Source organism: Homo sapiens, chromosome 12, assembly GCF_000001405.40.
Source record: "Homo sapiens chromosome 12, GRCh38.p14 Primary Assembly".
In the NCBI taxonomy this organism is placed as follows: Eukaryota; Metazoa; Chordata; class Mammalia; order Primates; family Hominidae; genus Homo; species Homo sapiens.
The window spans coordinates 109,426,411-109,442,030 of record NC_000012.12 but is presented as its reverse complement, the minus strand read 5'-3'; the positions used below and the strand labels follow the sequence as shown (position 1 = coordinate 109,442,030).

General features: G+C 47.2%; 1 protein-coding gene across 3 annotated transcripts in view, besides 1 other annotated feature; it reads right to left on the bottom strand.

The window, feature by feature from the left end:
* Positions 1-15,620, bottom strand: part of MYO1H (myosin IH) — a 137,912-nt gene that overhangs the window by 6,349 nt on the left and 115,943 nt on the right. For 2 of the 3 annotated variants that reach the window (NM_001101421.4, XM_047428738.1), the window contains 8 exons: positions 14,445-14,562; positions 9,021-9,134; positions 6,918-6,994; positions 5,475-5,543; positions 3,411-3,495; positions 2,241-2,400; positions 1,204-1,287; positions 323-416 (listed from right to left, as the gene is read on the bottom strand). In NM_001101421.4, the coding sequence (NP_001094891.4) occupies positions 323-416; positions 1,204-1,287; positions 2,241-2,400; positions 3,411-3,495; positions 5,475-5,543; positions 6,918-6,994; positions 9,021-9,134; positions 14,445-14,562 (801 nt within the window). Of the gene's footprint in view, positions 1-322; positions 417-1,203; positions 1,288-2,240; positions 2,401-3,410; positions 3,496-5,474; positions 5,544-6,917; positions 6,995-9,020; positions 9,135-9,351; positions 9,418-14,444; positions 14,563-15,620 lie in introns of all 3 variants that reach the window. The other variant, XM_011538223.3, reaches the window with a different exon arrangement.
* Positions 7,762-8,266: an enhancer, noted in NCBI's record as "H3K4me1 hESC enhancer chr12:109871570-109872074 (GRCh37/hg19 assembly coordinates)". NCBI's record gives its function as "activates a minimal SCP1, AML or CMV promoter by ChIP-STARR-seq in naive H9 embryonic stem cells {active_cell/tissue: H9 hESC(naive)}" and the evidence as "EXISTENCE:reporter gene assay evidence [ECO:0000049][PMID:30033119]".

The window sequence follows — 15,620 nt, the reverse complement described above, 5'->3', positions numbered from 1 at the left end:
CTGTCTCCCAGGCTGGAGTGCAGTGGCATGATCTCGGCTCACTGCGTCCTCCGCCTCCTGGGTTCAAGCCATTCTCCTGCCTCTGCCTCCCGAGTAGTTGGGACTACAGGTGGACACCACCACGCCCTGCTAATATTTTGTATTTTAGTTGAGATGGGGTTTCGCCATGTTGGCCAGGCTGGTCTCGAACTCCTGAGCTCAGGCAATCCGCCCACCTCGGCCTCCCAAAGTGCTGAGATTATGGGCATGAGCCACCGCACCCCACCCTTTAACTCCTTTTAGAATTGGAAAGCCAAGTACATAGGCTGGAAAATGTACTTACCTATCCGACTGTTGACAAAGGGTTGATTTAAACTTTCTGTGTAGCCGTCTTTCCTTCCCCTGAAGATTTCACTTGTAACTACCTTTTGCTGCATCTGGTAATACACAATTGAAAGTATAAAAATGGTAGCCACAGGCTTCTTTGGGATAGAAGAGCTCTAGACCCATTGAGGTCACATCCTTTGCTGGATAAACTGTGGGAGCCTTGTTACCCTGGAGCATACAAGTCAGAACACCTTCCTGGCTTTGGCCAAAATGCCCTGAAAGTCATATTGGTAGAGACTGGGTTGACGTTTCTGCTCGTTCCCTTACTACCTTCCTGAAAGTGGATTTTCCAGAGTTCCAAGAGCAGTTTCTTGTAGATCAGGGATTGGGAAACCACAGCCTGCAGGCCAAACTCAGCCTGCTGTCCCTTTTTGTAAGTAACATTCTATTGGGACAGAGCCATGCCATTCATGCACACATTGTCCATGGCTGCTTTCTCACTGTAGCAGCAGAGTTGAGTAATTCCAACAGAGAAAGGCCACAAACCCTGAAATAGTTACTCTTCTAGCCCTTTACACAAAAGACCCGCAGGTTAGCACGGTGAAAAACAGATTTCCAGCAGAAAGGGGTCTACATTCTCTGCTCCGGTGGATGGATGGCAGGAGCCGTTGTGATTGTGTTCCCATGGTAACAAACGGAGCCATGCTGATTACAGTAACAGCTGGCATTCATCCAGGGCTCTCTGCAGGTCTACCTGCAATTATCTTGAACATTTCAAAGCATGGGACTAGCATGACCCCCGCTTATAGGTGAAATGGTGGATGAGGAGGACTGACACTCAGGACCCACTCTTACACCCACCCCCACCACCGGCCACCGCAGACATCATGTCCCTACCATTGCTTTCCGCTCAGCTGTGATCCCGCGGCAGTACTTCTGCACCAGGTTCCTCACGCACATTTTCCTGAGCAGATCTGATGCCTGTGTGGAGAACACACTTCTTTCCACTTGCCTCACTCACTCCCTGTCTGGGGCTGTGGCGATCAAAATGAAGCTTTAAAAAAACACTGCTGAATTCAGTTTGATTTCAAGCACAGTGTTAATATTTTATATTTTATAGTCACAGCAGCTAACCTGATCCTCTCCCAACTTTTTGCTGTTGCTTAACGAATGATTCTCAAACTTGAATATGTTTATGACTCACCTGCAGAACTGGCTATAATGAGATTCCTGGAGATTCTGACTCAGTGGGTCCAAAGTGGAGCCCGGGACTCTTACAACAGCCCCGCCTCTAAGTTCCAGACACAGAGGGTCCTCAGATCATCTCTTGAGGGATGCTATTCTAGGAAGGCTACGTCAGGAATAGAAATGATTCGAAAGTACTCTGTCGGCTGGGCACGGTGACTCGCACCTGTAATCCCAGCACTTTGGGAGGCTGAGGCGGACAGATCATTTGAGGTCAGGAGTTCGAGACTAACCTGGCCAACATGGCAAAACTCCGTCTCTACTAAAAATACAAAAATTAGCCAGGCATGGTGGCGGGCGCCTGTAATCTCAGTTATTCAGGGGGGCTGACACACCAGAATCACTTGAGCCTAGGAGGCGGAGGTTGCAGTGAGCCAAGATCGCGCCACTGCACTCTAGCCTGGGTGACAGAGCAAGACTCCATCTCAAAAAAAAAAAAAAAGTGCTCTGTTTAAACAACCTCCAGTGGCTTTATAATGCTACTAAGGACACTCCAGTGGCTTTATAATGCTACTAAGGACATCGCAAATTCTGAGGAGTTCAATTTCTTGTGCAGCATCCTTGGGAAGAAGGGCTTTGCCAGGGCAGCCCTTTCAAGCCAAAGGGAGGCAGCACAAAGACATGCAAGAGTTAAGCTTCGTCAGTGCCCGTGCTACTTACAACACTGGAAATCCCAGATTAGTCCTTACATTTTCCAAGATGCCAGGAGGCCTCAGCCAGCTCTTGTCCAGGACAGTCTTTGGAAGGTGATACCGGAGATTCAAGATGTAATTCTTCCGCACAAACACGATAAATTCCTCGTTGTCAGGACAGAGGGGTTTGTTGCGACTGATGAATCCTTTAATGAACCTAAAAAGGAAAATGTTTTCTTACTTTTCTGGACCATTTCTTCACCGAGATTTACATTCTCTTCCCCCTTCTTTGATTCAGAGGCGGCCAAAGTGGTAGAGGCTGTGGAGATGACCACATAGGCCAGAGGCCAAATCTGCCCCACATATATGTTCGATTTCACCCACACGGCCTTTTGTTTTGTTTTGAGGAGCTTTAATTAGCTGCCAATTTTAAAAAGTTAGGAAGCAGGGCATAAAAGCCAGATTTCAAGGCTGGGCATGGTGGCTCATGCCTGTAATCCCAGCATTTTGGCAGGCTGAGGCAGGCGGATCATTTGAGGTCAAGAATTCGAGACTAGCCTGACCAACATGGTGAAACCCTGTCTCTCTACTAAAAATACAAAAAATTTAGCCGGGTGTGGTGGTGTGTGCCTGTAATCTCAGCTACTTGGAAGGCTGAGGCAGGAGAATCGCTTGAACCCAGAAGGCGGAGGTTGCAGTGAGCCGAGATCACACCATTGTACTCCAGCCTGGGCGACAGAGTGAGACTCCATCTCAAACAAAAAAAACAAACAACAACAACAAAACCCCAAAAGCCAGATTTCAGCGTTCCTTGAAAATTCAAGCCATCTGGCTACATTTCCCCACAGCAGCAGTAAACTGGAATGGGCTAGTTACCGCCCCACCTTGAGGTAGACTGAGCGTTCCAGTTTGCTGGTCTCCACCATGCCCTGTTGTCTTATCCCAGCCCATGAGACTCACTCACTTTACCTGCCTGGCATCAGAAGGCATTTGACTTTGTGACTTTTGAGCCAGGCTAAGAGAAATTCCAAATACATTGAGTTGTGATCACCATCAAATTCAGCTCAGAGCAAAGGGATGGACCTGAATTCCTAATGGCATTCTGAAGGGAGTTTTTCCTTTCTGCACAAATCAAAAAATCACAAAGAACTCATCTACCTCCATGACCATCCCTGCAGGGTACCAGCATTTAGTGACCTGTCCTCTCTGTTGTACCTGAGAACTTACTTTCTGATAATCCGCACGGCCCACTTTCTCCTTTGGATTGCCTTCCGAGCCAGGGCCCCACGCCAGTGGGCTTCCAGTTTGATGGCTGAAAGAGTTCACTGCTGGCATTAGAAGGTGAGCACAATCGTATGGAAATACAGAAGGCTTTTCCAGAAGGCTTTGTCCATTCAACAAACATCTGGACGCCCACCGCAGCACTCTGTTAGCCTCAGAGATGGAAGGTCGGATGAATGTCATCAGTTCTTACCTGGGAGTACTCAGGCAACAACTGAACCAGGGGGAGACAGAACAGAGGGGGCTATGGAAGGTTTCTAGGGAAGCCCTGAAATTACATGAGGGAGTCATTTTCCCAGGGTCTTTTTCAGCCACAGCAATGGCACTTGTGATGGTACAGATTAGTCTTACCACCATGTTTAGTCTCACTGGGGTTTACTTTTAGTTGTCTACATTTAAAAATTGGGGTACACAAGCAAACTAGGGCATATAAAACTTAGGTTCTGGCTTATTTCCCAATTTTTTTTTTTTTTTTTTTTTAGACAGAGCCTTGCTCTGTCGCCCAAGCTGGAGTGCAATGGTGTGATCTTGGTTCACTGCAACCTCTGCTGCCTGGGTTCAAGCAATTCTCCCACCTCAGCCTCCCCAGTAGCTGGGATTACAGGTGTGCACCACCACGCCTAATTTTTTTTTGTATTTTTAGTAGAGACGGGGTTTCGCCATGTTGGGCAGGCTGATCTCGAACTCCTGACCTCAGGTTATCTGCCCACGTCAGCCTCCCAAAGTGCTGAAATTACAGGTGTGAGCCACCATGCCTGGCCTGTTTCCCAATTTTTAAATGCTCTTCAGATTTTTTAAACGCTTTTCTTCGAATCCTCAGAACAGCATTGTTTCTATTACAAAGACAAGCAACTTGAATCAACCCAAACGTCCATCAACAGAACAGCTAAGTTGTGGCATACTCATAGCTCAGGGGCTGGCCCACTACAGCCTGCCACTTGTTTATGTAAAGTTTTATCTCTACACAGCCCTGTCCATTCATTTACATATTATCTAAAGCTACTTTCCTGCTACCATGGCAGACTTGAGTTACTGCGATGGAGACCATAAGACTCCCAAGTCTAAAATACTTCCTATAATGCTGACCTCTGCTGCTATAGTGGAATACTATGTAGCTATCAGCAAATGAATAACTAAATCTATGCACATCTCCTGGTTGAATTTCAAAATCAATTTGGAGTGCAAAAATGTCACCCAAAATACCAAGAGTATAGTTAAGTTTAAAACATGCTAAATTATAAATATATTATTTAGAGATACACCCATAGATAGTGAAACTATTGAAGAAAAACAAGAGAATGATTAATGCAAAATTCAAGAGAGTGGTTACTCTCAAGAAATGTATGCGTGTGGGTGGGAGTGTTGTTTGAGAACATGACTGGGGAGGGACAAAAAAATGGAAGGGCTTCAAGGGTACTTGTATGTTTGAAACTTTTTCAAAAATTATTCTTTTATTTTTTTTGAGACAGGGTCTCACTTTGTCACCCAGGCTGGAGTGCAGTGGTTCCATCGTGGCTCACTGCAACCTCCACCTCCTGGGCTCAAACAGTCCTCCTGCATCAGCCCTCCAAGTAGCTGGGACTACAGGCATTAACCACCATGCCTAGCTAATTTTTGGGTGTTTTGTTTTGTTTTGTTTTGGTAGAGACAGGGTTTCACCATGCTGCCAAGGCTGGTCTTGAACTCTTGAGCTCAAGTAATCCACGCGCCTCAGCCTCCCAAAGTGCTAGGATTATAGGTATGAGCCACCGCGACTGGCCCACAAAATTATTCTTTAAATGTACACATATTGTAGGACTAATAAAACATGCCTGTGGAACACATACAGGCCACTATGTTATAATCTCCAATCAATAAGGTAAAAATGAGAAGAGGCCCCAGAACTGGACCCCAAGATAGCACCACACAAGGTTTTAAGGATGAGCAGGGGGAGAGAACTCACAAATGTGCCCCCAGGTGCCAAGCAGATGAGAAAGGGAGCAAACTTATTTGTTTCTATTTAATTCTTACCTGCTTGTCTTTTTTTCACGTATTCTCTCCTTCCTAGGCAGCGTTTGTAAGTGGCTTGGATTCTTGCAACTTAAAATAAAACAGACGTTTTGGTGAAATGGCTTTGCATTTGCGCATCTTTGTGGTTGTGATCTCCAGGGGTGTTTGGGGGCCGATGGAAGGGGGCATCAAAGTCCTGTGGTGTAGTGATGTTTCAGGAAGCTATTTCAGCACTGCAGACCTGAGAGCTGGCTGGTTACATGACGCCTGGCTCCCAGATGCTGCCCGGGAACTGGAGTTTCCTTCCTGCCTTTCCTTTTCCCAGGGCAAGGAACAGACCTAGTGCTACAAGCCCCCCAGTTCCATGTCAGGCATTAGATTTCATTCTCATACGCCACCCCACAAGGCAGGCATCATCAGCATGTTTTATAAATGGGCACGCAGGCTCAGACAGATGGTGAAGACGCTTGCCGGGCAACACAGCTAAGGAGGAGCATGAATCCAGGTCTGATCAGAGAACACTCTCCCTCGGCTTCTACATCCTGCATCCACCCCCTCCACACAGCAATTTAGGTCCTATCAGAGGCCAAGCTCATCAAGAGCCTTGCAGAGCAGCCACATCCTATTCCCCACGAGCTGGTTAGAGATGCTGGCTCAGGCCCCACTGGCCTAACTGTGGCCCTTCAACCAGATCCCCAGCCATTGGTGCCCACTGCTACGGAGGTCAGAAAATGAGACCACCAAGCCTTGAAGCCAGACAGACCCAGGTTCAAACCGCAGCTAGGCTGCTTACTTGCTGTGTAGCCTTCAACAAGTTACCAACACCTCCGTGCCTCAGTTTCCCTGCATAGAAAGCGGAGACGATAGCACCTATGTCACCTCCCTTACAGGTCTGTTCTCAGAACAGAATGAGACCATGGTTTAAAGGACTTAGTGTTCACCTGGCGCACAGCAGGCCCTCAAATGACTCAAGCGTAGTTCTTGACAGACCGGTTACATTTCAAAAGAGACGCTCCCTCCCCCCGCAGTTTTGATTTTTTACTTTTTGCATTTCCCCATCTAACTTTTCTCATTGACCATTCCCAGCAAACACCCAGGCTGCAGGCTTTGAAGCTAAACTTTCCAACATCAGACACGCAGACAAGTGAAGTTTTGTAAACTTTAATTTCAAGGGGCTGGTCTCTCACGGTTTTACACCCTAGTAGTGAACAACAGAATCTGATCCAAACGAGAACTGAAACGGCGGAACAATGTTTATATATCTGCCTGCATCTGTGACTGACCTCCAAGCAGTCATTAAAGCAGAAATTCACAGGGATCTTATCATAATCCCATATCTCGTTCCTAGTTTCCAAAGCGAATGCTTCTAACACTATATCAAACACCCGTGTTTAAGATTTACCCCCAAGCTCCACTTGTTCATTTCATATTCTATTGAAATCGGGACAGAAAAAGAAATCATACCTAGTTGATGTTTACTAAATTCAAAGGCATCTTCGGTAGCAAACAGAGTTCTGGGGAAACGAATGAATATTTTGGTTCTAGAAGTGAAAAGAAATGTTTTTGTTATTAATTGGTCAGTTTACCATCTAGTGGGTTGAACGGTGCCCCCTTCAAAAATTCATTTCCACTCAGAACCTCAGAATACCATCTTATTTGGAAATAGTGTTTGCAGATGTGATTGAGGTAAGGATAGAAATGAGCTCATCCTGGAATAGGGTGGGCCCTAAATCCATTGAGAGTGTCTCTATACACACAGAAAGACACAGGGAGGAGCCCACGTGAGGACGGAGGCAGAGATTGGAGGGACACGGCTACAGCTAAGCAATGCCAGGAGCCACCAGAGCTAAAAGAGGCTCCCGCAGGAATGTGGCCCTGCCAACTCTTGATTTTTGGATTTCTGGCCTCCACAACTAGGAGAGAATAGATTTGTTTTAAATCAGCCACTTTGTGATCATCTGTTACGCAGTCCTAGGAAATGAATAAACCAACGTAACCTGAAGTTGCTTCAAGTTATGTTGCTAGGCTTTAAAGAGTGACGACAAAGAATATGGGTGTTTTTGTTTGTTTTTTGTTTTTGTTTTGAAACAGAGTCTCAGTTTGTTGCCCAGGCTGGAGTGCAGTGGTGCAATCTCGGCTCACTGCAACCCCCATCTCCCAGGTTCAAATGATTCTCGTGCCTCAGACTCCCGAGTAGCTGGGATTACAGGCACCAGCCACCACGCCCAGCCAGACAAATAATGTGGATCTAAGCTTAAAAGAAGATCACGCTGGGCGCGGTGGCTCACGCCTGCAATCCCAGCACTTTGGGAGGCCGAGGCAGGTGAATCACCTGAGGTCAGGAGTTTGAGACCAGCCTGACAAACGCGGTGAAACCCTGTCTCTACTAAAAATACAAAAATTAGCCCATTGTGGTAGTGTGCACCTGTAATCCCAGCTACTCGAGAGGCTAAGGCAGGAGAATCGCTTGAACCCAGGAAGCGGAGGTTACAGTGAGCCGAGATCATGCCACTGCAGCCTGGGTGACAGAGCAAGACTCTGTCTCAAAAAATAAAAAAATAAAAAGAAGATCACAGTAGCCAGCAGAGAGAAGTTACAAATACTGACCTCACATTGCCTGCCCGACCCCAGGCCTGGTGAGGGAAAGTTCCCAGGGCAGCCACTGGGGACAGCAGTGGGTGGTGCCTGGTGATCCCACTCTCCCTTGTCCCTGTTTCAATTTATGGAACAGGGGACAGACGGATCCCACCTCTGACCTCCATGCCCTGCCTCCCTCAGGATGTGCTGAGCCTTGCAGAATCCCCTTGGAGATCTGGACTGACTAAGTAACTGATCCTTGGAACAGGCCCAGAATAGGAGTCTACAGATGGAGAGAGGCCAAGGCGGCCCAGACGACCATGTACAAGTGGGAGTTAGGAGTCAGCAGGGAAAGCCCATGAACAGGATCACAGGCAGAGCTCTCTGGAGTGGGGAAGCCCTGCTGTCGGGGAATAGATCTTCATGCTGAGACACCTTTCCCTGCAACCTCATTAACCCTGACCAAAATGACGCACAAGACGGACTCGGATCTTCCCGATTCATGTCCCTTGAGTTGTGCCTGAAAGCTTTCAATGTGTACGAAAGTCTCTGCTCATGGATAACTACAACTCTACAGTTAAGAGTTCCAGCACACCATTTCTGAGATGCTACAGATGATCTCACATTGTCTAGGTCCCAGTAGCTCCTCTGGCAGGTCATGCGTACATGGGAACAGTGAAAGAATCCAGGCACACGGACGTTAGGTGCCCCCTCTGGTTCCCTCTTTGTTTTGCTAGCAAGGAGGCCCATCTGCTAAATCAGTTTAGTGCGGAAGTTTCCTTTATAACTTCATTTCCTCCCACCGGCAGCACCATAGCTCTTCTAAAGAATTAAGAGCTGCATTTACATCGAGTAGATGAAGCATAAATCTCGCAAATCTCCATAAATCCCTAGGAATCGAGTCTCCAGGCTCTAGATGGATACGGATCAATGCACAAAACCCTTTGATGTCAAGGGAAGAGACCATTTGGTGGTCTTCTGGTCACTTACTTGCCTAACTTGTATTCCTCGGGTTTGTAGCCGATGTACTTGATCAGCCGTTCCACGCCCTCTGCTGGAGGCCCGTGCCAGTGCGGCCAGGTGTCTGGGCATAAGGACTTGTACCTAGGAGAGGAGATGGACATGGAGAAGCTGTGACCGTACCTTCCTCTAGCCCTCCCCCACATCCCCGGCCCCAGAGGCCTGCTGAGCACTGCTGTGGCATGTCGGCCACTCAGTGTATGTAGTAGTCCCATTACACGAACTTTCTCGAATTCAAAGATGGGTACTTTGCAAGAAAGAAAGGAGAGAGAAACTGTTTCAATATAGTAGGGAGTTTGACCTGTCTTTGTAGAACAATGACATCATCAGACGCTCAACCCAGTGACTCAATTCCACTCCTAGGTATCTGTCCAAGAGAAATGAAAAGGTGTCCGAACATTCATACCTGAATGTTCATAGCAGCCATTGGGTGTAGCAGTGCATGGTGCTATGATTCATAATAGCCAAAAGGTGGAAACAACCCAGATGTCCATCGACAGAAAACTGAACAGACAAACAAACATAGTCTAGTACCAGAAGAAAAAGTTCTATGCTTGAGACCGGGTATGGTGCCTCATGCCTGTGATCCCAGCAATTTGGGAGGCCAAGGCAGGAGGATCACTTGAGGCCAGGCATTTGAGACCAGCCTGGGCAGACCCCGTCTCTACTTAAAAAAAGGCCAGGCGCAGGGGCTCAAGCCTGTAATCCCAGCACTTTGGGAGGCCGAGGCGGGCGGATCACAAGGTCAAGAGATCGAGACCATCCTGGCTAACATGGTGAAACCCTGTCTCTACTAAAAATACAAAACAAAATTAGCCAGGCATGGTGGCGGGCACCTGTAGTCCCAGCTACTGGGGAGGCTGAGGAAGGAGAATAGTGTGAACCTGGGAGGCGAAGCTTGCAGTGAGCCGAGATTGCGCCACTGTACTCCAGCCTGGGCGACAGAGCAAGACTCCATCTCAAAAAAAAAAAAAAAAAAAAAAAAAAATTTTTTTTTTAGCCAGGTGTGGCAGTGTGCGGCTGTAGTCCCAGCTACTCAGGAGGCTGAGGCAGGAGGATCGCTTGAGTCCAGGAGGTTGAGGCTTCAGGGAGCACTCCAGCCTGGGTAACAGAGATCCTGTCTCAAGAAAGAGTAGAGAAGAGAAAGAAAGGGTTCCATGCTTGGGAAGTGATGAGGGCTTCCCCCGTCCCCCAGGGGTAATTTTGGCTCCAGTGTTAAGAACCTGATTCCAGCATGCAGTTCCCTTCTACCCTGCAGTCCCTAGAAAGAGAACCGTGATGTCTGTAGTATAATGAAACAACTGAACGCAGAATTCAGAAGTGCAGATGGATCAAGGCTGGAAGCAGCACAACCGGAGCCACTGGCGTAGAAACAGAATGCCTGGGTTCCAGCCCAGCTCCGGAGCGGGAGGAGTCGCTGCCTCACCTGTGTGACATGAACAGTAACAGGACCTTCCTCATGGGGTTCTCATGAGGTTTAAACGAGATAATACACACTAGGTATTTAGTCCCAGTCCAAGACTCAATGAGTGCTAGCAGTGGTGTTCCCAATATGCTCCTTCCTTTCTTATTATATTTATGTTATTTATTTATTTATTTTTGAGACGGAGTCTTGCTCTGTCACCCAGGCTGGAGTGCAGTGGCACAATCTCCACTCACTGCAAGCTCCGCCTCCCAGGTTCACGCCATTCTCCTGCCTCAGCCTCCCGAGTAGCTGGGACTACAGGTGCCCGCCACCACACCTGGCTAATTTTTTGTATTTTTTAGTAGAGACGGAGTTTCATTGTGTTAGCCAGGATGGTCTCGATCTCCTGGCCTCGTGATCCACCCACTTCGGCCTCCCAAAGCGCTGGGATTACAGGTGTGAGCCACCGTGCCTGGCCTCATATTATGTTTATTTTAAAATCAGATTTTTTTTTTTTTTTTGAGATGGAGTCTCGCTCTGTCTCCCAGGCTGGAGTGCAGTGGTGCGATCTCGGCTCACTGCAAGCTCCACCTCCCACGTTCTAAAATCCGATTTTAAACTGTTAAAAAAAATACATGTATATATATTTTTGATACAGAGCTCACTCTGTCACCCAGACTGGAGTGCAGTGGTGCGATATCAGCTCACTGCAACCTCTGCCTCCTGGGTTCAAGCGATTCTCCTGCTTCAGCCTCCTGTGTAGCTGGGATTATAGGCATGTGCCACCACGCCCAGCTAATTTTTGTATTTTTAGTAGAGACAGGGTTTCTCCACGTTGGCCAGGCTGGTTTCAAGCTCCTCACCTCAGGTGATCACTTTTCGGCCTCCCAAAGTGCTGGGATTACAGGCATGAGCTACCATGTCCAGTGAAAAATATTTTTATTTTCCTGGAATTTATGAGCATGTTCTTTAAGGGTATCGAGTGTCCCATGTTCTTCCTCTGTTCAGCCACCTACACAAAGGTGCAGGATGTGTGCTTCCTGAACTCCAGTGAAAGCTGGAGAAGATAGGGTCTCCACCACCCCCAGGGGACACAGCACAGCCTCAGGCCCTGCTTTCATCCATGCAGACCTTGCGCAATACCAGCATGCACCGCCAAAGCTAGACAGATATGGAGGGGCTGGGGAGAGGCCCTAAATGCCTGCAGGTTGGAGGGACTAGTACCTTATGTCTTCAACTCTATGATATGGTTGCTCCCTGATCAAGGGAAGTGGTGCCAGGCAGGTGCACGGGGTTTGGCTATCTCCAGCTCGATCCCGTGAATCTCCCCTTGCCTCTGTCCCCAGCCACTGACCAGCTGCCACGCTGGCCTCTCAGCTTGCCCTAGAGCCTGCTCCCACCTCCAGGCTTTCCTGCCTTGATTGATGTTCCCTGAATGCTATGGACTGATCGTCTGTGTCCCCACAAAATTCATATGATGAAATCTAACTCCCAATGTGATGGTGTTAGGAGGCAGGGCCTCTGACAGGTGATCAGGTCACAAGGGTGGAGCACTCATAAATGAGATTAGTGCCCTTATGACTACATCATCAACTATGTGAAGACACAGCGAGAAGGCACCATCTACAAACAAGGAAGCTGGCCCTCACCAGACACTGAGTCTGCCAGTGCCTTGATCTTGGACTTCCCATCCTCCAGAACTGTGAAAAGTTTCTGTTGGTTAGAAGCCACCCAGTGTAGTGTTTCGTTACAGCAGCCCAAACAGACTAAGACACCAAATGTCCTCATGGCTCACTTCCTCACTCAGAGAGTGACCCCCTTACCTAAGGAGGGAGCCTGGCCACTCTTTCCCCTTACCTGGATTCACTTTTCTTCAAATAACATATCCCTGCCTGGCCTTATGCAGTCACCCCTCATCGTATGTGGGGAATTGGTTCCAGGACCCCCATGGATACAAAATCCACGGATGTTCAAGTCTCTAATAAAAAATGGCATAGTGTTTGCATATAACCTGAGTACATCTTCCTGTACACTTTAAATCATCTCTAAATTACTTATTATACCTAATACTATGTAAATACTACATAAATAGATATTAGACTATATTGCTTTTTAATTTGTATTATTATTGTTGTATTGTTATTTTTATTGTATTTTTAAAAGCATTTTGAATCCATAGTTGGGTGAATCCTCAGATGTGGAACCCGCGGGTGTGGAGGGCCAACTTTACGTCTTTGTTATTGTTGGTCTCCCCCATAGAAAGTAAATTCCATGAGGACAGGGATGGGGTCTGTTCTGTTCTCTGACATCACCCCAGCACCTAGGACAGTGCTAGCTCAGATAGCTGCTCACCAGTTTTTGTTTGTTTTGATACAGAGTCTCATTCTATCACCCAGGCTGGAGTGCAGTGGTGTGATTTCAGCTCACTGCAACCTCTGCCTCCCGGGTTCAAATGATTCTCATGCTTCAGCCTCCTGAGTAGCTGGAATTACAGGCATGCGCCACTATGCCTGGCTGATTTTTGTGTTTTTAGCAGACAGGATTTCACCATGTTGGTCAGGCTGGTCTTGAACTTCTGACCTCAAGTGATCTGCCCACCTTGGCCTCCCCAAGTGCTGGAATTACAGGTGTGAGGCAACATGCCCGGCCTGCTCACTAGATTTTATGGAAAGAATGAATGAGCCTCAGAAAGCAGCAAAAATAGACAAGAGATGTATGAAGTTCAAAAAAACACAGGTAGATGGGAACATCAAGTGTGTATATGTTTGGAGGGGGGTGAGGTGGGCAGTGGCTGTTGCCCTGCCATCTGCCGCAGAAGTCAGATTTGGGATGAAGATGAATGAATAAGTAGCGGATGGGCAAAAATGGTGGGCAAAGGAGGTACATCCAGGAAAAATAAAGGCAAAGAGTCTCAAATGACTACACTCAAAATATTGGTTGAACCACATGAAATTTCTGCTATTCAACCATTCTGACCCAACAAAGTGACCATTTATTATGCTTGAGAGTGTGTTGCTATTTTGGTAGCATAAATTCACACACAGCCCATCATTGAAGAAGTGTTGGTGTATAAGCAATTTGGGGGATGGTGAGAGTAGGCGTAGAAATAGTTCATTAAATCTTTACAAACTCCCTGATCCCAGACAATTTAATCCTACAGATAAGGGAAATGACAGGTCACAGCTATAAGAGAATGAGGATTATGATCCAAGTTCATGTGGTTTGAAAACCCATGTCCCCACCGCTAACCTGCTGCTCTTGACAGCCCGTTGCGCTAAGGCACTAAACCAGGCCCTACGGTCACAAATGGACTTAGCTTCTCCTGCTAATTCAGAGGCCTGTGGGGCACTGCCCACGGCTGCCCCCTGGTGGCAGATCTACGCACTTGGCCTTGCCCTTGACTGTAAACAGTCAGGGATTAGTGAAATGAACAGAAGATGGTAAACTGAATTTTTGTGAGTTTTTTTTTTTGTTGTTTTGTTTTGTTTTTGAGATGGTTCTCATTCTGTCACCCAGGCTGGAGTGCAGTGGTACGATCTCAAGTTCACCGCAGCCTCAACCTCCCAGGCTCAGGTGATCCTCCCACCTCAGCCTTCTGAGTAGCTGGGACTACAGGTGTGTACCACCACACCCATCTAATATATATATATATATATATATATATATTTTTTTTTTTTTTTTTTTTTTTTTTTTTGTAGAGATTGGGTTTTGCCATGTTGCCCAGGACGGTCTCGAACTCCTGGCCTCAAGCAATCCTCCCACCTCGGCCTCCCAAAATGCTGGGATTACAGGCATGAGCCACCGCACCCAGCCAGAGTTGGGTTTTTATGTTCTCCCAAATGTTAGTGTTTTTAGCTGTCATAACTACAGCAGTTAACAACCAAACTGAGCCTTCCTAAGGGATGCCATTTTATTTACCACTAAACCCCAGAGATTCTCATGTAGTAGGCACATGACTATTGGCTTCAGATCAATAAAGCACATTTTACCTTTGCAAGAAATGCTCGTATTTCCTTCGGTATGCAAAACCAGCCCGTCTCACCCGCAGGTGCTCCATCAGCCCCAGGTATTTGATCTGATGCCTTATGAGGAAGTCATCAAATTTGCCTTTGGAGAAATAGAACAGAGAATGACAGGAAAGGATCCCATGGCTTCATATCAACCAAGGCAGATCACAGGCTGCAAGCTGAAGTTCAGTGGGCTGGGTCTGGCCCCAGACTCATTTCGTGAGGTCTTAATTTTTTTTTTTTTTTTTTTTTGAGATGGGGTTTCATTCTTTTTGCCCAGGCTGGAGTGCAGTGGCACAATCTCGGCTCACTGCAACCTCTGCCTCCTGGGTTCAAGTGATTCTCCTGCCTCAGCCTCCCAAGTAGTGGGGATTACAGGTGCACACCACCATGCCTGGCTAATTTTTGTATTTTTAGTAGAGACGTGGTTTCACCGTGTTGGCCAGGCTGGTCTCGAACTCTTGACCTTAGGTGATCCACCCGCCTCGGCCTCCCAAAATGCTGGGATTACAGGCATGAGCCACCATATGCCCAGCCCAATTGTGCTTTTTAAATGGGGGAATTTTATAGGAAAAAATTAAATTTCTGGTTCCTCTGAAAAGTCCTGAGATCTGGCTATCCTGAGGCCAGAGTCCCACATGGCAACAGCTGGCAGGAGAGGAGTAGCGCTGTTGCCCCTTTAGACAGAATGTGCCTTCTCCAGTTTGCCACAGTCCTCCCCACTGCCTATTGCCTTTCAACCTGTCTGCTTCACTCATTTGCTTTTCCTGCCTAGCCTCTGTGAGCCTCTGATGGTCCATTATAGTTCATTATAATGGTTCCTAACAACTATATTATAGACCATGGCAAGAGCTTAGAAACTACCCAAGTCATAGATCATTTTCGAAGACTGTTCCTTGGCTAGAAAAGAGTGACGTTGACTCCCTTCGCCTCTGACACCTGCCTGACTCAGCTGTGTTGCTCCTGAAACTGAACAACCTCTGAGAAATGCTCACTCTGAACCACCAAAGGCATTCATTTACCTTCTATTATTATTATTTTTTGAGATAGGGTCTCACTCTGTCACCCATACTGGAGTGCAGTGGCACAGTCATGGCTCACTGCAGCCTTGAACTCCTGGGATCAATTGATCCTCCCACCTCAGCCTCCCAAGTAGAT